General features: G+C 44.3%; 1 protein-coding gene and 1 long non-coding RNA gene across 6 annotated transcripts in view, besides 2 other annotated features; both read right to left on the reverse strand.

Annotated features, from left to right (window-relative positions):
* The window catches only part of GLB1 (galactosidase beta 1), a 136,039-nt gene that overhangs the window by 14,197 nt on the left and 95,556 nt on the right, over positions 1-26,286 (reverse strand). For 4 of the 5 annotated variants that reach the window (NM_001135602.3, NM_000404.4, NM_001317040.2 and 1 more), the window contains one exon: positions 21,313-22,040. The exons of the other annotated variant lie outside the window; for it this stretch is intronic. In NM_001135602.3, the coding sequence (NP_001129074.2) occupies positions 21,741-22,040 (300 nt within the window). In that variant the 3' untranslated portion in view covers positions 21,313-21,740. Of the gene's footprint in view, positions 1-21,312; positions 22,041-26,286 lie in introns of those variants that run through there. 5 annotated transcript variants of the gene reach the window in all.
* Positions 16,617-17,379, reverse strand: LOC107986072 (uncharacterized). The gene is made up of 2 exons (XR_001740633.2): positions 17,286-17,379; positions 16,617-17,128 (listed from the first exon to the last, which is right to left on the reverse strand). It is a non-coding gene; the product is annotated as an uncharacterized LOC107986072 (long non-coding RNA).
* Positions 17,483-17,602: an enhancer, noted in NCBI's record as "active region_19640". NCBI's record gives its function as "activates an Ori minimal core promoter by ATAC-STARR-seq in GM12878 lymphoblastoid cells {active_cell/tissue: GM12878}" and the evidence as "EXISTENCE:reporter gene assay evidence [ECO:0000049][PMID:35858748]".
* Positions 22,133-22,632: an enhancer, noted in NCBI's record as "H3K27ac hESC enhancer chr3:33038929-33039428 (GRCh37/hg19 assembly coordinates)". NCBI's record gives its function as "activates a minimal SCP1, AML or CMV promoter by ChIP-STARR-seq in naive H9 embryonic stem cells {active_cell/tissue: H9 hESC(naive)}" and the evidence as "EXISTENCE:reporter gene assay evidence [ECO:0000049][PMID:30033119]".

The following is a 26,286-nucleotide window of genomic DNA, read 5'->3' on the forward strand; positions in this document are numbered from 1 at the left end:
AAAGTCCTGGGCTCAAATGATCCTCCCACCTTGACCTCCCAAAGTGCTGGGATTACAGGGGCATGAGGTACTGCCCCTGGCTGGGTCTGGCCTTTTTTATCCATATGTCAATGAGGCATCTTCCCATTAAACAAATAGTTCTCTGGGGAAAGGGAGCAATCAACCCTCACAGCAGTTAGGGGAGTTGTGCACAAGCAGATATAGGTTTTTTTGGTAGGACATCAACAATACCCAGTACAGGGGCAACTTCAAAATTTCTATACAAAGATGGATTAGTAGAAAAGGAGAGAAAGAGGGAAATAGAGAGAGACTGCGAGAGAAAGAGCAACAAATATTTACAAACAAATAGAAAATCTCTCATTTAAAATGAGTGTGCACACCACAGTTCCATAGCCCAAGGAAGAAATATAGTTCTAAAACAGTGAACAAGATCAACAATCCAAACAGCAGCTCACCTGAGATGAAATCACTGTAATAGGATAGTGTGGAAAGTACTTTTAAATAAATATGCTGATCTATCTGGAGGAGAATAAAGTAACACCCACTAAGAAAGAACAAAAGACTGTAAAACATTTGCTGACACCAGGGAGGTGGCTCCTGCCCAATAGTGTTAGGAGAGAGAAACATGGGTGTCAACAGTAAACTTCCTTCTAGAACTGAACTTCATTTTTATTTTCAGACCTCATTTCCCCCAGAAGGCAGGGGCTTAATCTCAGTCAATTCAGCATTTCACCCATCTCCCCTTTCCTCAGTAATATCTGGTGTTGCAATTTTGCGAGTGTGACTCTGGTCTTTGTGATTTGCTGATGTCAGCTCCTCCCTGTAACTGCATCCTGTCTGGGCCTCAACCATCCAACCATGAAGTCACCTGCTAAGCTGATCCATTCCCACATACTGGGCCATGTCTCACTCAGATCCCTTGGCACTCCTTTTCGGACATGGGAAATGCTCCATTTTCTCTTGCTCTTCTCTGTAGCCTCAGAAGACTTACTGGAGCTATCGAGGGCCTTTTCTGCTTCCTGCTGCTCAAGCTGGTGTGGGAAACCATCCTACTCTTTCCCCTCCATGGCTGGTTCATGAGAACTCTTGCAGGCTGCCTTGGTCCACATGCAGACACAACCCACACTGTGTTGCGTCTGCCCTTGCACTGTGATGGGGAACTCAGGGATCTTGCTTCCTCCCCAAGCTTGACATTGGAAACGTGGCCCCGAAGCCTTATTTTCTCACATCCCAAAACCTGGGTGGGGATTTTATTGTGCTTCCTTATCCCAAGGGCTTGGCCATGGGAGGCAGCAGTGCCGGGACTCTTCTCCGGGAAGCTCCCAACTCTTCTGCTTCCTTTCTGACTCCTCTCTCCCTCCCCCTTAGCCCGTGGAAGCTTCATGCTTCTTAGGGCCCCTTCCTCAGAAGCTGGATGTGGAGAAGAAAGGCAAGGATGTGTCATTTCAGGAATATAGATGGGACAGGTTTAATTTTAAAATTATTAGAAATTCAGAGGTGGGGGTGGACAAAGAAGAGAAGAGTGAAGACAAAAGGATGATCAAGAAAATGGATGGTGGTAGAATATCTTTTACACACTGGGATATTTAATAGTCAATATATTGAGCTTGTGCTGTGACACTGTAGACCGCACCTCCTCCTCCATCTCTTTAATGCTTCTGTAAAGTTTTTACACATTAAAGAGGCCTGATGTGGATAAGTTTTTTGTGAAATTCAAGGGACTCTGTTTCACATTTGAGTCAAGATACTGCTAAAGAATGTGTAGGATGGTGAGATCGTTCATGAACTGAATGGATTCAGTGGAGGCAGAGGCAGAATGTCTAGACTGAGGAAACCATGAGAAAGTGAGCCTTCCAGGTGTTCACAGAAATTGTGGAAGGTTTTAAAGACAAACCTCATCTAGATTTTTTTTTTTTTTTTGAGACAGAGTCTTGCTCTGTGGCCCAGGCTGGAGTGCAGTGGCGCAATCTCGGCTCACTGCAATCTCCACTTCCAGGTTCAAGCGATTCTCTTACCTCAGCCTCCCTAGTAGCTGGGATTACAGGCGCCCACCACCACACCTGGCTAATTTTTGTATTTTTAGTAGAGATGAGGTTTCTCACCATGTCGGCCAGGCTGGTCTCAAACTCCTGACCTCAAGTGATCCACCTGCCTCGGCCTCCCAAAGTGCTGGGATTACAGGCGTGAGCCACTGTGCCTGGCCAAATCTTATCTAGATTTTTAAAGCGAAGGGGCACCTCAGCTGACATCTGTGTTAGACATGCTGAAAGGAAACATGTAGACTCCCTCTCAGTCTGTGAATGGAGTCATGGAAGCCTTGACTGAGGACCTACTATGGGCTAGATGTGCTGTCCTTGGTACCATGAATATGAGAATTAAAATCCTATGCCACTTGTCATGAAGGCTCCCTCAGTCAGTGGTAAACAAAGAACTATAATATTGTAAGCTAAGCGCCATAGAGAGGGATATCATCCGAGAAGATTGACAGCCTCTGCACTGACACCGTTCAGGGGAAACTAGCTCTTGGGAGGCATGGGAGAGTTTACTATCTGTTCTATTCATGTCCTCTTCTGCCCCGAAAGCCCACAGAATTTTTTGCCAACATGGTCCTAATCCTTACGTCTGAATTTCTGACACAGTTCCATGGATATTTACACGCCCTTAACCTAATTAAAGCAGGGGCATTTCTCTTCTCTTTTGGTTATTGTTATTATCGCTAACCATTGTTTAGTGATCACGGGACTATACACCGCAGAAGGTACGTGATGGCCACGTTATGATACTGTGGTTAAGCTGATGGGAGAGTAGAGGTAAAGTATGAAGAACAGGTGTCACCAAAACAGGAAAATGCCCATTATCTCAAAAACGTTTGGGTGAGAGAACTGTCTTAACGTCCACAGTTGGGGTGAAAAACAACAGGCTCCTTTTGGAGGGGGGCATTTGCCATAAACAAACTGATTGTGAGATTCTTAGCACATTCGGCATGAAGATAAAAGAGTTAGGAGACATTTTCTTTAAGTGAGAGTTGCGAAGAACAATCCATCCTCACCCTTTCCCACAGAAACAGCATCAAAATTAAAAAACAAAAAAAAAAACAAATTTCCTGTTTCAATTGTTGAAGAGGGAGAGAAGCTCTTACATCGTGGACTCCTGTAGCAGAGGGATTCATGGGACTCTGATACAATAGGAGTTTTGTAACAGACGGCAAAAAGTCCAAGCCTGCTTTCTTCCCTTTTCTGCAATGGATGAACAAACCCAAGGCAGAATAATCTTTGCAACAACTCGGCAGAGAGAGGCAGCAGTGCCTGATGGAGGCCTTGCTTGGCCAACGGAAGTAACATTACATGTGATAGATCTGAGATGGTGGTGAGAGGGAAGGGAAAGGAGAAGAGGGAAGAAAGAAGTAGAAGAGAAAAGGCTAGCCTTGAACCCTGGTTTTCTTTTTTTTCTTTCTTTCTTTCTTTTTTTTTTTTTTTGAGACAGAGTCTCTCTGTCACCCAGGCTGGAGTGCAGCGACATGATCTTGGCTCACTGCAACCCCCACGTCTCGGTTCAGGTGATTCTCCTGCCTCAGCTTCCTGAGTAGCTGGGATTACAGGGGCCCACCACCACACCCGGCTAATTTTTTTTTTTTTTTTGTATTTTTAGTAGAGACAATATTTCTTTCTTTCTTTCTTTTTTTTTTTTCTGAGATGGAGTTTCGCTCTTGAAGCCCAGGCTGGAGGGCAATGGCGCAATCTCAATTCACCGCAACCACCGCCTCCTGGGTTCAAGCGATTCACCTGCCTCAGCCTCCCGAGTAGCTGGGATTACAGGCATGTGCCACCATGCCCGGCTAATTTTGTATTTTTAGTAGAGATGGGGTTTCTCCACGTTGGTCAGCCTAGTCTCGAACTCCCAACCTCAGGTGATCCACCTGCTCCGGTCTCCCAAAGTGCTGGGATTACAGTCACATTCATTGTTTCAGAGGGTGGATACAGACTTTCCTAATAAAGAAAGATTTCTTTAGCTCTTAGGCTAAAACACTTACAGAGGTGAGGAAACACTTTTCATCCCTGAGTTTATCAACTTATTAGTACTTGAAAATAAAAAACTGTTGACTTTGTTGATGTTCTCTATTGAATACGTATTTTTCTATTTCATTAATTTCTGCTTTTACATGTATTACATGTATTTCTTTCTTCCACATTAAAAAAAATTCTTTTGGTGTTTTTTCTTTTTTTTTCATAAGAAAGGGTAGAATTTTATTGTCAAAAAGGCACACTTGGCCGGGAGTGGCAGCTTACACCTGTAATCCCAGCACTTTGGGAGGCCAAGATGGGAGGATTTCTTGCGAATAAGACTTTGAGACCAGCCTGAGCAACATAGTGAGACCCTGTCTCTACAAAAAATAAAAAATTAGCTGGGCATGGTGGCATGTGCCTGTTGTCCCTGCTACTTAGGAGGCTGAAGTGGGAGGATGGCTGGAGCCCAGGGGGTCAAGGCTGCAGTGAGTTGTGATGGTGCCACTGCACTCCAGCCTGGGTGACAGAGTGAGACCCTGTCTCAAAAAAAAAAAAAAAAAAAAAAAAAAAGAAAAGGAAGCTTTTAAGAGATTAAATTTTTTCTCTGAAAAAAATTAATTAAAAATTTTAATTGACACATAATAATTGTACATATTTATGGGTACAATGTGATGTTTCAATATATGCATACTTTGTGTAATGATCAAATCAGTATAATTAGCATATCCATCACCTCAACATTTATCTTTTTTTAGTGAAAACTCAAAATCCTTTCTTCTAGCTTTTTTGAAATATTCAATACATTATTGTTAACTATAGTCAACCTACTGTGCAATAAGGACATTAGCACTATTCCTCCTAAATAATTTTAACTTCGAAACCGTTAATTAGCTCTTTCCATTCCCTCCTTACTTAAATTTTTTTTAAAATACAAGATCTTGCTATGTTGTTCAGGCTTGCCTGGAATTCCTGGCCTCAAGTAATCCTTGCATCTTGGCTTCCTGAGTAGCTGGAATTACAGGCATGAGCCACCACACTGGGCCCTCCTTACTTCTTGAAGATGTTTTGCTCATTAAATTTCAGACTTTCGTCTTTAATAAACACATTTAAGGCTATAACTTTCCCTCTAAATATAGTGTTAGCTGTATCTCATGAGTTTTGATATGTAATGCTTTCTATATTCCTCAGCTCAAACTATATCCTAAAATCCTTAATTTAAAACCATCAGCTTTGGGAGGCCAAGGTGGGTGGATCACAAGGTTAGGAGTTTGAGACCAGCCTGGCCAGCATGGTGAACCCCTGTCTCTACTAAAAATACAAAAATTAGCCAGGCATGGTGGCGTGTGCCTGTAATCCCAGCTACTTGGGAGGCCAAGGTAGGAGAATTGCTTGAACCCAGGAGGTGGAGGTTGCAGTGAGCCAAGATCATGCCACTGCACTCCAGACTGGGCCACAGAGTGAGACTCCCTCTCAAAAACAAACAAACAAAAAAACCATCAGGGCTAGGCGCAGTGGCTCACGCCCCTAATCCCAGCACTTTGGGAGGCTGAGGCAAGTAGATCACTTGAGGTCAGAAGTTCGAGACCAGCCTGGGCAACATGGTGAAATCCCATCTCTACTAAAAATACAAAAATTAGCTGGGCATGCTGGTACACACCTGTAATCCTAGCTACCTGGGAGGCTGAGGAAGGAGAATTACATGAACCCAGGAGGCAGAGGTTGCAGTAAGCTGAGATCGTGCAACTGCACTCCAGCCTGGGCAACAAAGCGAGACTCCGTCTCAAAAAAAAAAAAAAAAAAAAAAAAAAAAATCTGGGCCCAGCGTGGTGGCTCACTACTGTAATCCAACACTTTGGGAGGCAGAGATGGGCGGATCATGAGGTCAGGAGTCTGACACCAGCCTAGCCAACACAGTGAAACCCCATCTCTACTAAAAATACAAAAATTAGCTGAGTGTGGTGGCATACACCTGTAGTCCCAGCTACTCGGGAGGCTGAGGCCGAATCACTTGAACCCGGGAGGTGGAGGTTGCAGTGAGCCGAGACCGCACCATTGCACTCCAGCCTGGGTGACAGAGTGAGACTCCATCTCAAAAAAAAAAAAAAAAAGAAAAAGAAAAAGAAAAAGAAAAAAAGCAAAGGTCTTCTGTATCTCTTTTTACGTTGGATATTTTGCCCGATACTGACCGGGCACGGTGGCTCACATCTGTAACCCCAGCACTTTGGGAGGCCGATATGGGTAGATCACTTGAGACCAGGAATTCAAGACCAGCCTGGCCAACATGAGGAAACCTCGTTTCAACTAAAAATACAAAAATTAGCCAGGCGTCATGGCGCATGTGTGTAATCTCAGCTACTCGGGAAGCTGAGGCAGAGAATCTCTTGAACCTGGGAAGTGGAGGTTGCAGTGAGCTGAGATTGCACCACTGCACTCCAGCCTGGGAGACAGAGCGAGACTCCATCTCAAAAAAAAAAAAGAAAAGATATTTTGCCTGATACTAACAAAGTTACGTCAGTTTGTTTTTTGGTTTGTATTTGCATGGTATACTTGTTTCCATCTTTTTACTTTCAACCTCTTGGTATTCATATGTTTTCAACTTGATTTCTAGTAGACAATACATAGTTTATTAAGGACATAGTCTGACAATCTTGGTCTTTTAACTGTTGCATATACCCTATTTTGTATTAATGTGGCTTCTGATAGTCCTGTATACATCTTGTTTCAGCCGGGTGCGGTGGCTTACGCCTGTAATCTCAGCACTTTGGGAGGCTGAGGTGGGTGGATCAACTGAGGTTGGGAGTTTGAGACCAGCTTGACCAACATGGAGAAACCCCGTCTCTACTAAACATACAAAATTAGCCAGGCATGGTGGCGCATGCCTGTAATCACAGCTCCTTGGGAGGCTGAGGCAGGAGAATCTCTTGAACCCGGGAGGTGGAGGTTGTGGTGAGCCGAGATGGGACCATTGCACTCCAGCCTGGGCAACAAGAGCGAAACTCCGTCTCCAAAAAAAAAAAAAAAAAAACTTATTTCATAGATTATATTTATACTACCTGTTGCAGGTTTCTTTTTCTCTCATTCCTTGCCTTTTTGGGGGAGTATATTTAATTTTCAAAGTTTAAAATTAACCAACTACCTTTGCCCTTATTACAGACATTACCAAAACAAAAACAAAAACAAAACAAAAACAAACAACAACAAAAAAAACCACAAAGACAAACAACTAAAGTAGAAATTTTAACTCTATTTCTATTGTTCCTGTCTTATAGTTCTTGTTTTTACAAGTTGTAATTTATGCAATTACAATGTTATATTGTAATTAAATCTTATGAGGTCCAATAACCATTTTTACTGCATGTCATGAATTTAATATTTGTTTACATTTATACACAGGTTTACCACTCTATTTGCTTTTCAATCTTTTTTATATCCTAGAACTTTCTAGAATCATCTTCTTTCTGACTGAGGTACATACTTTAGTGTACCCTTCAGTGAGAGTCTCTGTTTATGTTTATCATAAAATGTCTTTATTTTGCCAACATTCTTGAGGGAGAATTTTCACTGGATATGGAATTCTAGGTCAGCATTTGTTTCCTTTCAGTATATTGAATATATCATTGTATTATCTTTGGTCTTCTGCTTTTACTCTTGAGAAATCCTCTTTGAGTCTACTGCCACTCCCTTGAAGTGGCAGTAGACTATCCTCTGGCTGCTTTTAAGATGCTTCTATTTGTTGCTGGTGTTCTTCAATTTTACTTTGACATGTCTAGGTGTGAACTTCAGTTTAAATATTTGGTATTTGTTGGGCTTCTTGAATCTATGGACTGGTGTCTTAAACACTGATTCTAGAAAATCCTCATCCATTATTTCTTCAAATACTACCTCTACTTCATCTTATCTTCTCCTTCTGGAATTCAGATTAAGCACATGTTTAATCATTTCACTTTATCCTCTGGGTCTCTAAACCTTTCTTTCATGTTTTCCTTTTTGTTTGTTTTCTATGCTACATTCTATATCATTTCTTCTGATCTACATTCCACTTACTGATTGTCTCTTCTACTGTGTCTAACCAATTCCCAAACCCATATGTTGTGTTTTAAAATTTGGTTATTTTATTTTGCAGTTTCAAAAGTGCTATTTTGTTCTTTTGCAAATCTATGATGCTTCCTTGTAGTTTTCTCTTCCTGTAGATATTTTCAAGGTTGTTTTATTTAAGTATTGTAGGAATGTTTATTTTAAAATATGTCTCATAATTTCAATATCTGAGGCCTATGTGGATTTGTCTCTATGGTCTTATGTTGCTTTGTTGCATTGTGCCTTTGATTATATTTGGCTGGGGCTACCCTTTGACCTTGAAAATAATAATAATAATAATTCTTATTGTTTTTGAGATAGGGTCTCACTCTGTTGCCCAGGCTGGAATGCAGTGGTGCAATCATGGCTCACTACAGCCTTGACCCCCTGAGTTCAAGTAATCCTCCCACCTCAGCCCCCTGAGTAGCTGGGACTACAGATGCACCACTACCAAGCACAGCTAATTTTTAAATTTTTTTTTTTGTAGAGACAGGGTCTCCCTGTGTTGCCCAGGCTGGTCTTGAACTCCATGGCTGAAGTAATCCTCCCACCTCAGCCTCCCAAAGTGCTGGGATTACAGGCCTGAGCTGCCACTCCTAGCCTGACGTTGAATATTATTTGAGAGGATTTCCCAAGTTTAGGATAAATATACCCTTATTCCAAGATAATTTTGAGTTTGCTTCTGTCAGATATGTAGCTGCAATATTAGTTCTGTATAATGCTCTAATTAATCACCTTAAGTTTATTGGACTAATCTTGTGACACAAATTTAGAACATAAATCCACACTAGGGCTAGCCTCTGCTTACAACCTATCAGGGATGGGTTGTTAGTTATTCCTGCCTTGCTCAGCATCAAGGTACTTGTCCCTACACCCCCCTGAGAATTCAGAGGGGTTCCTCTGAGGGGAATTCAAGGGCGTTGCTCAGGGGGGAATTCAAGGGGTTTGCTTTCCATCTGTTATACTCCTACCCTGACAAGTGCATCCCCCAGCTAGAGCCACTCAGCTTAATGTGGGTCAGTTTCCTATTAGACTTCTCAACTTTGGTAAACCCTTCCAAACAGAGTTTTTAGTTTCATACTTATTTTGCTTTGGATAATAAAATGCAAAAGTGGCTGGTTGTGGTGGGTCATGCCTATAATACCAGCACGTTGTGGGGCTGAGGCAGGAGGATCACCTGAGCCCAGAAATTTGAGACCAGCCTGGGCAACATAGTGAGACCAAGTTTCCATTAAAAATTTAAAAAATTAGCTTGGTGTTACCAGGCACGGTGGCTCACGCCTGTAATCCCAGCACTTTGGGAGGCTGAGGCAGGTGGATCATGAGGTCAGGAGTTTGAGACCATCCTGGCTAACACAGTGAAATCCTGGCTAACACAGTGAAACCCCGTCTCTACTAAAAATACAAAATTTAGCTGGGTGTGGTGGCACGTGCCTGTAGTCCCAGCTTCTCAGGAGGCTGAGGCAGGAGAATCACTTTAACCTGGGAGGCGGAGGTTGTGGTGAGCTGAGATCGCGCCACTGCACTCCAGCCTAGGTGACAGAGCGAGACTCTGTCTCAAAAAAAAAAAAAATTAGCCTGGTGTAGTGGCCTGCATCTGTGGTCCCAGCTATTTGGGAGGCTGAGGCAGGAGAACTGCTTGAGCCCAGGAGGTTGAGGCTGCAGTGAGCTGTGTTCATGCCACTGCACTCCAGCCTGGGTGACGGAGTGAAACTCTGTCTCAAAAAAAAAAAAAAAAAAAAAGCAGAAGTGTCTCTGAATGATTTATTTATCTCTTTCTTACTATTCCATCAGCTTTTTAATGCTGTACGATGGAGGATTTGTCAGTTTTTTTGTGTTTGTATAAATTTTCTTCATATATTTTATTTTATGCATCTGCATGTTTAGAATTGTTGTAACTTTATATTTTTATTATTATTATTTTTTGAGATGGAGTCTCGCTCTGTCGCCCAGGCTGGAGTGTAGTGGTGCAATCTCAACTCATTGCAACCTCTGCCTCCCGGGTTCAAGCGATTCTCCTGCCTTAGCCTCCCAAGTAGCTGGGATTACAGGTGCCTGTCACCACTCCCAGCTAATTTTTTGGACTTTTAGTAGAGACAGGGTGTCACCATGTGGGTCAGGCTGGTCTCGAACTCCAGACCTCAAGTGATCTGCCCGCTTTGGCCTCCCAAAGGGCTAGGATTACAGGTGTTAGCTACTATGCCCGGCCTATGTTTTTAATTTTATGATGTACCTTTATATATATTTTATTTTATGCATATGTGTGTTTAGTATTGATGCGTCTTCTTGATAAATTGGAATTCTATCACTTTTGTGATAACTCTGTCTATATATATTTTTTGAGATGGAGTCTCACTCTGTTACGCAGATTTCAGTGCAGTGGCATGATTTCAGCTCACTGCAACCTCCACCTCCCGGCTTCAAGCGATTGTCATACCTCAGCCTCCCAAGTAGCTGGGCTGGGACTACAGGCATGCAACACCATGTCTGGCTAATTTTTATATTTTTTATTAGAGACAGGGTTTCCCCATGTTGGCCAGGCTGGTCTTGAACTCCTGACCTCAGGTGATCCAGCTGCATTTTCCTCCCAAAGTGCTGGGATTACAGGTGTGAGCCACCGCACCTGGACAACTCTCTATTTTTAATGATGCTTTAAAAATTAAAATGTGTTTGTTTTTCTGTTATCACTTGCAAGTGGAGCTTTAAGTTAGTGTGTGATTTTCCATGTTCCCTTTTGCCTGCTTTGGCAATTATGGAAGCAGCGCCTCAGGCGGTAGCTGCTCTGTCGGCTGCTCCTGCTCATCGTTCAGGTCTCAGTTTGGAGACCTGTAGCAGATGCTGCTGATGCCCATCCAAATTTCCTTTATGGATTGGGTCCCAGAATGAAAACACTGGGCAATAGAGACCCCAAAATTGATTGGCAAAGGACATGTAGTAAGGATAAGAAATAAATCTTTTTGTTGTAAGCTACTAAGGTTTGGGTGTTGCTTGTTATGTAACATAACTTAGCTTATATTGACTAACACAGAAATATTGGGCAAATACTTCAAAAATATTTTCCTTCTTACACAATCATACAAGACCCTTCACATTGAGCTCCCTGATATTATTGCAGCCCCATGTGTTCTCAACACTGCCCATCCCCGTCACCTATGTCGCCGTGAATGGTCTTTCTCTCTCTTAGTTCTGGCCATCTACATAGACTGTTTCTCTTTTTTTTTTTTTTGAGATGGAGTCTCGCTCTGTCTCCCAGGCTGGAGTACAGTGGCATGATCTCGGCTCACTGCAACCTCTGCCTCCCGGGTTCACGTGACACTCCTGCCTCAGCCTCCCAAGTAGCTGGGATTACAGGTGTGTGCCACCACACCCAGCTAATTTTCGTGTTTTTAGTAGAGACAGGGTTTCACCATGTTGGTCAGGCTGGTCATGAATTCCTGACCTCAGATGATCCACTCGCCTTCGCCTCCCAAACTGCTGGGATTACAGCCATGAGCCACTGCTGCAATAGACTATTTCTTTAACCTGGAATACTCTTCCCCTACTGTTCACCTGACCAACTATTGCTCATCACTCAAGTCTCAGTTTAGAGACCGACAGCAGATGCTGATGATGCCCACCCAACTTTCCTTTATGGACTGGTGTACCCAGTCCCCAGCTACCATGAGCGTTGGCTGCTAACAGCTCACAGATGCCCTCTTCTCTTTTTTTATGGCCAATTCCCTACTACCTCCCCACAGTACAACTAGTCCTCCCCTCCCACCAGTGGCAGCCTGCGGCCAATGGCTGGCTGACACGGATGGAAGGTTAAAAGACTGGCCCTCTTGACTCAAGGTGCATCCAATTTTGTGGTGAAATTAATGTGTGTGAGTTTCTCTGGAACTAGCAGCCTGATCTGACCTAGGCTAGATACATGAGGGAGCCAAGCCAACATCAGTGGAGCCTGTTCCAGACCAGAAGAACCATATAGCAGAATCATGAACTAAACAGTTGGTTTAAGCTGAAAGTAGTCTCCTTGCTTACCTTTACTCTCTTGCCCTGCACCCTTCCCTCACTTCCTTTCTCCTTAGAGCATCCCCTCTGTAAACCACGTGCACACAAAGCCCTGTCTTTGGCTCTGCAGTAAGACAGAATGCCTGGCTGCCCAGGCCTGGATTGTGAACCCCTCTTCTGCTGCTCTGCCACTCTGTACTGTCTCTCACTATGGTGCCCATGAGACTGCATTGAACTGTCTATTTACTTATCTCTTCTACTAACTAAACCTTTTGAAGGCATAGGTCATGTTTTTATTATTATTGCTATTGATAGTATCTCAATACTCTTTTAAAAAGAGACTGAGAGATGGGGTGATAAAGTGGTTATCATTTTATTCTCAATGCCCAGCATGTATTAGGTACACCTTAATAGTTGAATGAATGAATGAGTGAAAGTTGTCCTGGATTTAACAAAGAGATGCAGGCTACAAGCATTTTTGCAGAGAATATTGGAGCTTAATAACATTTCCATAAAGAATGGATCTTAGAGGCTGGGTACGGTGGCTCATGCCTGTAATCCCAGGATTTTGGGAGGCTGAGGCAGGTGAATCATTTGAGGTCAGGAGTTTGAGACCACCTGACTAACATGGTGAAACCCCATCTGTACTAAAAAATACAACACAATTAGCTGGGTGTGGTGGTGCATGCCTGTGTCCCAGCTACTTGAGAGGCTAAGGCAGGAGAATTGCTTGAACCCAGGAGGCAGAGGTTGCAGTGAGCCAAGATTACGTCATTGCACTACAGCCTGGGTGACAGAGCAAGACTCCATCTCAAAAAAAAAAAAAAAAAAAAAAGGATCTTAGAGACTTTTAAGGTGCAAAGACCAAGGACTTAAGTGATAGGCTCACTGAAATGAAGAAGGGGAAATTTCAGTGTATAAAAAACATGGGAGCAGAAAATGGCAAAATTGGTCACTAAGAGAAAGAGGAAGAGTTGGGACCAACGTGTTGTTGAAGTGTCCTGCTCAGTGAGGAGGGACTGAAAGTTCAGTTCACACCTGCTGTATGGTATTCACATTCTACATATGTTACTATTCAGATAACATGGGCACTGACGTTTTATATCAGAGTGAAGAGTTGGTTGCTTTCAAAAGCATTGCTCTATCTGAATTCTTGAGATGGGTGGCTCCTTCCTAGCTATTAAGAGGCAAAATTCTGGTGCCCAGAGTGGAAAGAAAACCAGACAGTTAATCTCAGTCTTTTTACTCTGTCCTCCACTTCTGTTTCCTGAACAATCAGAATTCCATCTTTTACCAGGTTGGCTTTTGTAGAGTTTGCAGTGAACTGAGATGAATCTGCAGTGACTTCAGGACAGGATCTGGAATATGTATTTCAACAATATCTTCCTGTTATCAGCCTATCAGGCAATCACAGAAGCTTTTAATAGAAAGCTAGATAAAACTAGTCCTCCACCTAACAACTGTTTTTTCCTGTTTTTTTTTTCTACAAGCTCTTTTTTTCTTGTAGATATTTAGTACTGCAAAAATCCCATCTAGTGGAAGCCCTTGGCATGGTAAGGTTTGGTTCCAGGTAATCACAATTTTAGGGTACAAAACCATGAAAGACTTATCAAGATCACTGGGGTGGGGGTGGGGTGCTGGCAGCAGCACAGTGACCTCTGGTCCACTACAAATAAACTCTTCAGAGAGTTTCTTGAGTATTTTACCATATTTGTCCTTTGGACTTTGCAAATGGCTTCTTGATATCTGCCGATCATGGCAGACAGTGGACAGATGAACCCAGTTGCCCACCAGGGAAGTTGTGATGTTCTTAGCATCAGAAGGCCTCAGGTTGATGTCAGTCTGTGGTGCTTCTCTGCCCTCTCTCATGTCTCCTCAGCCCGTTTCACCTCAAGGAAGAGCTCCCCTCCAGAGAAAAACCGAGAGTCATCATTTGCCTGCTCAACTATGAATAAAGTTCCACGTACCTTCTCTCTGCTCACTTCTTTCAGAGGCACTTCCGGCTCACGAAACTCTTCAGCTAAGTTCCTGGGGAATTTGCTGAGTGTCAAAACATGAATTAAACCAGAAGAGATATGATAGTGGGTTTTGTCTGAGAGGGATGCCCAGCCTTGTGAATAAGTCATCTTCCAGTGTGGAGGATTGCTTGCTCCCTGACCTGTATCCACTGGGGACCCACATATACCGGGCATTCTGCTCACCAGAGACACACACAAGACTCATGGGTCAATCACCAAAACCTGGGGCCACAGCTCAGACCTGATCTGTCATGTCAGACAAGGCTGAAATATTGTTCTTCTGTGTTGTGAGTTTTCTCAAATACAATACAAAACTTTCTCCTTGCAGCTCAATCAAGGCAATCTGCATAGTAAGAAGAGTGTGGGATTTGGAGGCAAGAGACTTGGGTGTGAGTTTCAGGCCCCTGATTTTGTGTAAATCACAATTCTTCCTACCTCTTGATTTTCCTAAACTGTAAACTGAGCTGCATGCCACCCGCCCTATTTCTTCAAAAGGTTCTTATAAAGACTGAATGAAATACTGTATGCAAAAATAACACATTAAAACCACTTTATGAATGTTATTATTCTTATTAAGCACCATCAAAGTTGAAGACATGAACCTAGAAACTTCAGAGGACAAAAGATATGTGAAAATAACCAATTTTTCAGGATACTACCATCTGGTTGGAGATAGCTCTGATCCCTGCATCTCTCCTGCCTCATCTCTGTTCATTCCAACCCCAGTCAGATTGAGGTACATGCCACCAATTTCTGGAATTCTCCATTGTCTCTCCAGACCCTGGATCTCTGCAGATGCTGCCTCCCTCTGAGAAGCACTTTCTGCTCTACTCATGCCTATCTTTTCTCCTTCTTCTCTTATTCTTCACCTGGCTCAACTCCAGGAAGCCTGCCCTGACCAGTCTCTGCTCCACATCAAGTCTAAGACTGGATTCAGCATGCTCACAGCACTCTGATCTCATCGCTGTCATTGTCTACCCCTCACAAGCTACATGGTTCATTAATAGATCTGTGCGCTCCCTGAGGGGCAAGAAATGTGTCCTACACAGTGGCATGGGGTTTAGAGTAAGTATTGAATGAATGTCTATTGGGTAAATGAAAAAAACAAAACAAAACAAACCCACCTACTAAAATAGTTAAATGCTGAGGGGCTTATCCATCACACTAGAAGGGATACACCCTGAAACCTTGGGGACTCCTCACTGGGCACTTCTTGGGACACTTCCTGATTTCAAAGTCCCCAGAAAAGAGGTCAGGTGGTCCACGACAGCCAAAGCACTCTGGTAAAAAGATCCTATTGCAGTCGGGCGCGGTGGCTCACGCCTGTAATCCCAGCACTTTGGAAGGCCGAGGCGGGCAGATCACGAGGTCAGGAGATCGAGACCATCCTGGCTAACACGGTGAAACCCCGTCTCTACTAAAAAATACAAAAAATTAGCTGGGCGTGGTGGCGGGTGCCTGTAGTCCCAGCTACTCGGGAGGCTGAGGCAGGAGAATGGCGTGAACCCGGGAGGTGGAGCTTGCAGTGAGCAGAGATCACGCCACTGCACTCCAGCCTGGGCGACAGAGTGAGACTCTGTCTAAAAATAATAATAATAATAATAATCGTATTGCTTAGTAAAAATTAAAGAAAGTTGAAGTAAATTGGACAGACTGCACCTCTTGATCAGAAATCGTATCAAAAGATTTCACCCAAAGAAACAGAAACCACATTGAGCTTTGTGTGCAGTGCCCATCATCTCATACCTCCATAAACTCTGACTGGTGGGGGGTTCACACAGTGGATTTCCTGCCTGTGTCCAGTTAATTCCCCTCAGTTAATATCTGGTGAGACCACCGGGGCCTGGCAATTTGCAAAAAGAGACAAAGGGATCCAATTCACTAAACACAGGCTAAATGAACCACTTAGCCAATGGCCTCCTGCTCCTTACCAGTGGGGCCTTGGACCTCAATTCATGCTTGCTGGGCTTTCAGACCTTTAGTGAAATGGATGGAAATACACAAATTGGAGTGTGCTACAACATAGCACTGGGTGCACATGTGATGATTTCTTAAAAATGGCCACACATTCTTTGTCATTTCTCCCATCCAAGGATGGGGATCTGTGTTTCCTCCCCTTGAATCTGGGTTATGACTACTTTGACCAGTAGAGTACAGTGGACTGATGCTATGTGACTTCTGCATCTAGGCCTTAAATGGCCATGCAGCTTCCACCTGCTTCTGTTGCAATGTTCACTCTCTGGAAGCTCCCTTCTGGAACATGCCATCAGAACCCAGCTACTGTGTTATAAGAAGCCTGAGTCACATGGAAAGACCACTTGTAGATGCTCTGTTGACTGTCCTAAGTGGCCTTAAACTTCAAGTCATCCTGGCCCAAATAGCAGGCAAGTGAGTGAAGGAATTGCCAGATGGTTCTGGTACCCAGCAGAAGCCCCAACGTCACAGAACAAAGACAAGCCATCCTTGCTGGGCTGTCCAAATTCCTGATCCATAGAATCGTGTGCATAACAAAATAGTTGCTTCATGCCACTTAAGCAGACTTACTGGTTTATTATGCAGCAACAGACAACAGCACACATTGCAACCCATGATGATGAGAAATGCCCCGTGGGCAAGGAATTCAATATGTTGGCACTGGAAAGTTGCTTACGTTTTGAGAACAAGCCAACAGAATCTTCAAGGAATCAGAGCACTGAAGAAGTCCACACTAGGGCCTTTAAGTCCAAACCCTGGATGTCGAGTCTTTTCCGTAGGCTCACGCTGCCCTCCAGCAGTCTCTGGTTAATGCTGGAGAGGCTTGGTGAATGATGCCCCTTCACCTTTCTACAGGACCTCTTCCTCCCCTTTGGGTCTGGTCTGTGTCATGTTTTATACTAGACTGTCTCCTTCACCTTTGTGTCCTCAGCCAAGCACAGTGGCTGGTCAGGAGGAGAACCAAGTTGTTGAACTGAACACAAAGGGATGCAGGGAAAGGATGGAGCATCCTAGGTGTCATTTCTTCCCTCTTGTCCCCCAGGTTTCCAGATGATCAGTTACCTGCTTCTGTGGTGGAATATGATAGGAAAGACTCAAACTAGCATTTAGTAAGCAGCTACTACATGGCAAATGCTATACAAGGTACTTTTATGATGACCTCATTTAATTTTAAAACCCCACAAGGTGGCCACCACATTTAGGAGAATAAGAAATTTAGACTTACACGATTCCCTTGCCCGAGACCATGCTGATGGAAAGTGATGGAGCAGGAACGTGACCCTGGGTTTCTGTCCTCAAAGCCTGTCCTGTTGTATCTTAGGAGACAGTGCTGCTGGTTTGGGAGTTTGGAGGAATGAAGCTGGTGGGAGGCCTGCTCACACGTGGGAAAGCCCCTTGTGGTGCAAACAGAGCAACTGTCTGGTGAGGAATCAGTTCAGAATCTTCACCGGGCATTCACAGACAACCAGAAAGCTGCTGGGCATCCACTTCTAACAAAGGTCAGGGCCAGTGGGCTGAAGGGCAAGGGACATCTGGGGAAGTATTGCTCAGTCAGACCAAGAGCAGGGGCTAGGCCAAAACCCAGAAACCACCTGGCCCCACTGTCTGGACATCGGGGCGATTTTCCTTGCAGCCCATGTGCTGATGGTCCACACCAGCTGTGTGTGCTACCACAGACCAGTCAGGATCCCTCAGACTGACTAAAAAGGTGATTTCAGAAAATGACTTCTTTTTCATAAAGGAGAGAAATAAAGACCACATGAGATCATTTCCTATTTGTGTCATTTGACAGAAGACATATTTCTTGTTGGGGAAACAATGAAAAAAAACCCCACCTCGGATTAGCATTAAACAATTTCATTCTGAATAAACTGGATTTGCTGAGAAACAAAGATAAACAGACTGACAATGACAGATAAAGAAAGTAGGTAGTGTAAGGTGGAGAAGGGAAGAGAGAGGACAGGAGGGATGATAAATCTGCAAATTCTAAGTGTGATTCTTTCTTTTTTGAGACAGGGTCTGGCCCTGCCACCCAGGCTAGAGTGCAGTGGTGTGATCTCAGCTCACTGCAACCTCTGCCTCCCAGGCTCAAGTGATCCTCCTACCTCAGCCTCTTGAGTAGCTAGGACTACAGGCATGCACCACCACATCCAGCTAATTTTTTTTTTTTTTTTTTTTTTTTTTTTTGAGACGGTGTCTCACTCTTGTCACCCGGGCTGGAGTACAGTGGCGCAATCTCGGCTCACTGCAGCCTCCGCCTCCCGCTTTCAGGCAATTCCCCTGCCTCAGCCTCCTGAGTAGCTGGGATTACAGGTGCCTGCCACCATGCCCGGCTAATTTTTGTATTTTTTAGTAGAGATGGGGTTTCACCATGTTGGCCAGGCTGGTCTCGAACTCCTGACCTCAGGTGATCCACCTGCCTCAGCCCAAAGTGCTTGGATTGCAGGTGTGAGTCACCGCACCTGGCCTAATTTTTGTATTTTTAGTAGAGATGAGGTCTTGCCATATTGCCCAGCCTAGTCTCGAATTCCTGGGCTCAAGCCATCCACCCACCTCGGCCTCCCAAAGTGCTGGGATTACAGGTCTAAGGGTAATTCTGCCTCCTCTTCATTATTCACTATCTTCAAAAAAGATATTCTGAAATTGTTTAACAGTTCCTTAAACAGTTCAATATAAATTACTATATGACTAAACAATCCCTCTCATGGGTATCTATCCAAGAGAAATGAAAACGGATGACTACACAAATAACTGTATATGGATGTTCATATCAGCATTCTTCATAATAGTCAAAACTGGAAACCATTCAAGTACCCATCAGCTGGCAAATGGATAAACAAAATGTGGTACATCCATACAATGGAATGCGACTCAGCAACACACAGGAACACATTCCTGAACATGCTACAACATGGAACAAACCTCACGGTATGCTGAGAGAGATCAGACACAAATGACTACATTGTGAGGCCGGGCACGGTGGCTGAAAGATAAATTTAATATAAAAGGTTTAGATAGTAGGTAATAAAAGTACTCCCCTTATTATTTTCCAAAGGTAGCATCCATAGAGAGAGTTGCATTTTCAATCAATTCGTGGACAGATCTGAAATAAGGTTATTGAGAGAAATCAAGAATGACTGAAGGCACATCTTATTTTAGGAAGAACATTGTAGCAGGCAAAATGTGTGCCCATGAGAGGCAGTGTAGAGTTGGATGGGTTGAGGGGAGTCCAGAGTCCAGGTGGCACTATCTATGTATTAAGATTCTGTTTTCTGGCCAGGCGCAGTGGCTCATGCCTGTAATCCCGGCGATTTGGGAGGCCCAGGTGGGTGGATAACCTGAGGTCAGGAGTTTGAGACCAGCCTGACCAACACGGCAAAACCCCGTCTCTGCTAAAAATACAAAAATTAGCTGGGCATGGTGATGCACGCCTGTAATCCCAGCTACTCTGGAGGCTGAGGCAGGAGAATCGCTTGAACCCAGGAGGCAAAGTTTGCAGTGAGCCAAGATCATGCCACTGCACTCCAGCCTGGGTGACAGAGCAAGACTCTGTTTCAAAAAAAAAAAAAAAAAAAAAAGATTCTGTTTTCCAAAAACTTCCTGGGTAAGGGGTGGCAGAGTGCTGTAGGTGGGAAAACCCATCCAAATTCCCTCACATTGATAAGACAAAACACTCTGGCTTTGGAGGGAGGTAGGCCAGGTTTGAAATCAACTCTGCCTCTTGCCAAAGTTTTAAATATTTTCAATTGTAAAATGGACTTATTGCTATTTGACCTTACAGTGTAGTTCTGAAGACTGAATGAGTGAAATATAAGGCAAGTGTACACGCTGATGAGGCAACCACACTCCACTGCTCGTGCCTTCTGGAGATTCTCTGCTTGTCTCTAGGGCAGGGGAACTGCAATTCACCAATGTACATATGCTTTAAAAGGAGTCATTTCACATTTCTTTCCAAAGCTTATCACTGTTTGGCCATGGTTCTTGAGTATCATTTTATGTTTTTGGTAACTGTGCAGTGGAGGAGTAATGAAATGAGGGTATGAGTCCATGTAGCACCTCCTTCGCCCTGTGATCTGCCCAAACATCAAATGGTGCAGAACATCTAGAAAAAGGTACTATGGAAAAACGTCCTTAACTAAGTTCCAGTGTTTGTTTCGGCTCATCTATGCCACTTGCAGCTGGCTCAACCTGTGTTTAAAGACTCACTGTTCAATCTCAGATATTTATTAGTTGTGCCTATGACAGAGGGAAAAATATACCACCAAGAAAACATTACAGATTGACATAAAAAAACTTTCCTTTCTCCCTCCTTAAAAACAAAACAAAACTACAGGGCCGGGTGCAGTGGTTCATAACTGTAATCCCAGAACTTTGGGAGGTCAAGGTAGGAAGATCACTTGAAGCCAGGAATTCAAGGCTGCAATGAGCTACAATCATGCCATTGCACTTCAGCCTGGGCAACAGAGCAAGACCCAGCCTCAAAAAAAAAAAAAAAAAAAATTACATATTCCCAGTATATAATTAAAAATACAGATAAGAAAAAGCAAGCAATCTCTCAAATACTTAGCATCCAGATATAAGTATATGAACATTTTTAAGTTATTCCTAACCTTTCTTGTGCAACACAAGCATGTATTAATATTTATGTATGCAATGTGTACCCGGACACTAGAGCCAGACTACCTGGGCTCAAACCCTGTCTCGCCACATACATCTGTGAGATCTGGTAAACCGGCAGGATGACAGTATATTCCTCAGTGTTCTTGTGAGGGGCAAGTGAGTTAAACATAAACTCAGAACTGTGCATGGTGTAGAACAAGTCCTCAACAAATGAGAGCTACTGCTCCATGTCAGGACAGGAATATCAGAAACACCACATCCTTTCCTATCTGTGCACATACACAGCACACACACACGTGCATGCCTGACTACTGACATGTGTATAGGCCTGTACTGTGTGAATATGTGAAGTTCTTATGTTGAAACACACAAAACGGGATCCAATTTAAGGTAATCTGTTTTTTCATGTATCAAAAAATTTGCATATAAGTATAGATCTCTCACCATTTTAGTGGCTAAAATACTATGCTTCTATATAGATATACCATACTATGTACACTGTGCAACTGTTAATCATTTAGATTGTTTGCATAATTGTTTTGAGCTGTATTTATAGGTTATCTAGTCCAAAAGCAAGTCAAATAACGATCAGAAAAGCAGCAGTCCACAGATCAAACCAAGACTATTTTCCATCCTTTTGAACTTCAAGTTAGTGAAGTGGTTTATTCAGCCCACTCAAGTCTAGTTATGATTTAAGTCAGACCATATAATTCAATACCTGCACATTAAAAACAGTGACATCATCATTTGAGTACAAATTTTATTTAACAAAAAGGTAACATGATTCTTCCAAAATAAAAATCACTACCACCTTTAAAGCTTCCATTCCAGCCCTGCAGATATGTATGCACGTTACTGTGCTGTCAGCCCCTCACACATTCCAGGTGGTCCCTGAAGGTGGGGCTTTGGCACTGCAGGGATGCAGGGAAACCTCAGGTGAAAATGCACATCCTAAATTCCTTTTCCATTTCCACATTCCAATCAGTGAAATGTGGCATGACAGGGAGGATCTGTGAGGTATGTTCAGGGTAGAATCCCTCAAAGACACAGGCTTTCATCATCATACATGGTCCAGCCATGAATCTTTGTTTTTTTGCGGGGGTGGGGGCATGAGTCTTTTTTCAACAGGTTTGGAGGGATGATCGTAGGTCACAGATGAGCCAATAACTGGCCTGTCCACGAACGTCACAGCACATAGTTCTGGATCATCACTGCTGCAGGGTGCCCACTCCAGTTCCAGCACGGTGATGGTGTTTGGGGCCGAGGTCATCAGGATGTGCTGGGGCACAAACAAGGTCAACTGAGGGCCCCGGGCTGGCCAATAGCGGCCAAGGTTAAAGCCATTAATCCAGACCTGGCCCTGGAGAGAGAGAGACAGAGAACCATCAACCCCAGATGCACCGAAAGCCCTGAGGAAGGTGGGGGCCCTGATGTAGGGCAGGCCAGCAGCAATGGAGGAAAGAAATGCCCCCAGAAAGGCGAGGCTGACAGCCAGGCCCATGCCAGCCTTGGTTTTAGCTTCTTGCTGGGATAACTGGCCAAGGTGGGAAGAAGGTGGATGCCCCCATCCACCTTCTTTGGGGCAACAAAAACTTGCCCCAAAGACCCACTCCTGCTTCAGGAAAATACAGGTTTGGTCCCTCTGACGGGCTTCAGTGGCCACAGATGTTGGTACCAGAGAACAGTGTGGAAATTTCTGAATTTCATCCTGGTTCCCAGGTGCTGCCTGTACCCACAGACCAGCCTCTCCCTGACTTTTCTGTACACAGAAGACAACTGCTGAACTGCTTCCTTAAATAGATCTTTTCCTTCTTTGTTCTCCTTTCCCAGAGGCAGGTCTTGACCTCACTATCTGCTGTACACCTGGTGAACACAGGGAACAGAGGACTCCAGGGCCTGCATCCTGAGGTCAGACAGGTACCAGGAGTGGTCCCCAAAACAACCCCTCAAGAGGGATAGGGGGGTTTGGGGTGAGGGAGAGGAAGAGGCTTATCCAGTTGGGTGTCTATATTACTGCTATGTTCTAAGGACTCTTACAGGCACCCTCAGAGTTAGGGTGTGGACTCCATGTTTGGTTCAGGAGCAGAGGTGATGCTATAGGTTGCATAAACAATTTCTGTGAGTAGGGGAAGCTGCTTCCCATAACAAAACTGAAAGTGGAGGATAAACTCCTAAAAAACAGGGACCATGTTTAGGTCTGTCTACACAGCCTCTCTGTATGTGCTAAAATTTGCTCAAAGGGGCTGAGTGCAGTGGCTCATGCCTGTAATCCCAGAACTTTGGGAGGCCAAGGCAGGCAGATCACCTGAGGTCAGGAGTTCGAGACCAGCCTGGCCAACATGGTGAAACCCCGTCTCTACTAAAAATACAAAAATTAGCCAGGTGTGGTGGCACATGCCTGTAATCCCAGTTACTCAGGAGGCTGAGGCAAGAGAATCACTTGAACCCAGGGAGGCAGAGGTTGCAGTGAGCTGAGATTGCGCCACTGCACTCTAGCCTTGCGCAGTGACAGAGCAAGACTCCGTCTCAAAAAAAAAAAAAAAAGATTTGCTCAAAGCTCAAAGGCTAGGATCAACAGCTGGCTGAATAGATGGACCATTCTATTACAAAGAAAGAAAGTGAAGATGGGGAGATCACATACACGCAAAAGAAAGAGAAAATCTGGGAGAAGAAAGGAAAACATAAAGGGAGAAGGAAGAGGAAAGAGGAATGGAAGAAGGGAGGGAGGCAGGAAAGAAACTGTGACCTACAATGGCCCAGATATCCTAGGAGACAGCCTGGAGGAGGCCCAGCCATGGCTGACACCTGCTGAGCCCTAATCCTCATCACGTTCTGCAACACAACTCTGCTGCTCACCCCAGGGCTCCTCAGTCTTCTTACGTTTGGGTATTTTTCAGCCTCCAAGTGTCCCCTTTACTTTAGATCCTTCTGAATTTCCTACCTGAGTTCGTATCTGTGTCCTGCCACTTACTAGCTGTCTGACCTTGGGCAGGTCTCAACTCAATTTTTCATACCAGTCATTGGGGACAATGATGATGAAGGAACAGTGTGTGGCCTGTAAGCGGTAGCACTCCTTACATGATTAAAGTGAAAAGATGTTGGTGTTCCAATGCCTACAAAAGAAGGGGGTCCGTGATTAAAAACCACCTGTCTGTTGGATTAAGTCATTTAGAAAGAGGACGACAGTTTCACAGTTCTCAGAACTATTTCACTCTTGTTTTTACCCTGGGATATGTTATCTCATTCCATCCTAAAAGGTATATACAATGACAGCTTTAGCAGGTTTTTATCAGCTTAAAATCTGCCGGTGCCTTGTTTTTGCAGTATTAGAGAACAGTAGCACTTTACTTTTGCGGTCAAGGGGGAAGACAGAGAAGTGGGAGGGCATTACGAGCAGCAGCCAAGGAATGGCACGCACCACACAGGCTTCATGCTATGGTCAGGACACAGGCCAAGCCAACTCTTGACCAAATCGCAGGTGAACAAAGTGGAGGTTTGGTCCTTTCTCAAACCTCAAGTTCCATTTCATAAGCATCCAAGAGATGGGCCCTCACATGCCGGGTGGACTGTGCACCTGGTAGGTAAGCTGGGAATTGTTTTCCCTGGATCCCCTTCCCTGGATGGTTCTGGGTTAGCGTTGGTCAGAAGAGGCCCTTGCTTGAGATTGGGAGGGTGGAGAGAAGCAGCAGCCATTGCTCTGGGGAGGTTATCGTGCAGTGGTGCAATCCTGGCTCGCTGCAGCCTCCGCCTCCACCTCCCAAGTTCAAGAGCTTCTTGTTCCTCCGCCTTCTGAGTAGCTGGGAATACAGGCGTGCACCACCATGCCCAGCTCATTTTTGTATTTTTGGTAGAGATGGGGTTTTGCCATGTTGCCCAGGCTGGTCTCCAACTCCTGGCCTCAAGAGATCCGCCCACCTCGGCCTCCCAAAGTGTTGGGATTACAGGCGTGAGCCACCATGCCTGGCCTTTTTCTTTTTCTTTTTTCCTTTTTGAGGCAAGATCTCACTCCAGACACCCAGGCTAGAATGCAGTGGCACCATCACGACTCACTGTAGTGTCAACCTCCCACCTTAGCCTCCCACATAGCTGGGACTACGGGCATGCCCCACCATGCCTGGCTAATTTTTGTACTTTTTTAGAGATGAGGTTTCGCCATGTTGCCCAGGCTGGTCTCAAACTCCTGGTCTCAAGTGATCCTCCCCCATCAGCCTCCCAAAAAGTGCTGGGATTACAGGCATGAGCCACCTCGCCTGGCCATGCACATGTTTCTTACAGGAGGGGAATGCTAGGAATGGAATTGCTGGGTCATGGGATATGCATGTGTCCAACTTTAGTGATACTATAAAGAGTAGCTATTTTTTAAAAAAGTGTGAAGGAGGAATTGAATTTTCACATTTAATTAATTTAAACTTAACCATATGTGGTTAAAAATGAACGTTCTTGTAAAGAATATTATACAAGGCCAGGTGTGGTGGCTCATGCCTGCAATCCCAGTACTTTGGGAAGCCAAGGCGGGCAAATCACTTGGGGTCAGGAGTTCGAGACCAGCCTGGTCAATATGGTGAAACCCTGTCTCTACTAAAAATACAAAAATTAGCCAGGCATGGTGGTGGGTGCCTGTAATCCCAGCTACTCAGGAGGCTGAGGCAGGGGAATCGCTTGAACCTGGAAGGTGGAGGTTGCAGTGAGCTGAGATTGCACCACTGCACTCCAGCCTGGGTGATAGAGCAAGACTCAGTTAAAAAAAACAACAACAAAACAAACAGAAAAAACCCAACAATATTATACAAGAAGCTACTGCACTGGACTACAGAGCTAAGGTATGGTGAGATCCTAGTGACTTCATTATTAGACCATCAGTCTTCCATTTCTCTCTATCCTCACAGCCTGACTTCCAGAGCAAGTCATAAATCAATGTTGTCTTAGACTGCTGCAGCCTCCTCACAGTCTCTTGACTTTATTAACTCTAGAATCTAGGCTCTGCATAGCTGCCAAAGTGAAAATAGGATTCTTTTCACACATTCCTGTTTCAAACCTCCTTCCTGTGGTCCACAGCCCATACCTTCCTCCTTTCCTCCTTGTGTCTGCCGCACTCCCCCTTGCTCACTCCACTCTCCACTACTTCTTGTTCTTTCCTTCTCTTTCTTCTCCTTCTTGTTCTTCCTTTCTCTCTTCTCTTCTCCTCTCCTCTTCTCCTTCTCCTTCTTCTCTTCTCCTCCTTCCTGTCTTCTCTCTTCTCTCTCTCTCTCTCACTCTTACATCTTGCTACATTGCCAAGGTTGGACTCCAGTTGCTATTCACAGGCACAATACAGCCTCAAACTCCTGCCCTCAAGCGATCCTCCTGCCTCAGCTTCCCGAGAAGCTGGATCTTCAGATGTGCATCACCACACACAGCTCCCCAATTACTTTCAGTTAGTTTTGCTTGGGCATCAGCTCGTCCCCATGTGCAAACACTACTCACCTCAGCCTGAAGCCTTCTCATCACTCAGGCAGGGCCACGACCCTCCTCCTTAATGCTGGGCTTTCCATTCCAAGTCACTCACTATCCTTTCATTTTTTCTTTTTCTTCTAGTTATTATCATGATTTGAAATTCATATCTTTTG

Source organism: Homo sapiens, chromosome 3 (genome assembly GCF_000001405.40).
Source record: "Homo sapiens chromosome 3, GRCh38.p14 Primary Assembly".
Taxonomy (NCBI): Eukaryota; Metazoa; Chordata; class Mammalia; order Primates; family Hominidae; genus Homo; species Homo sapiens.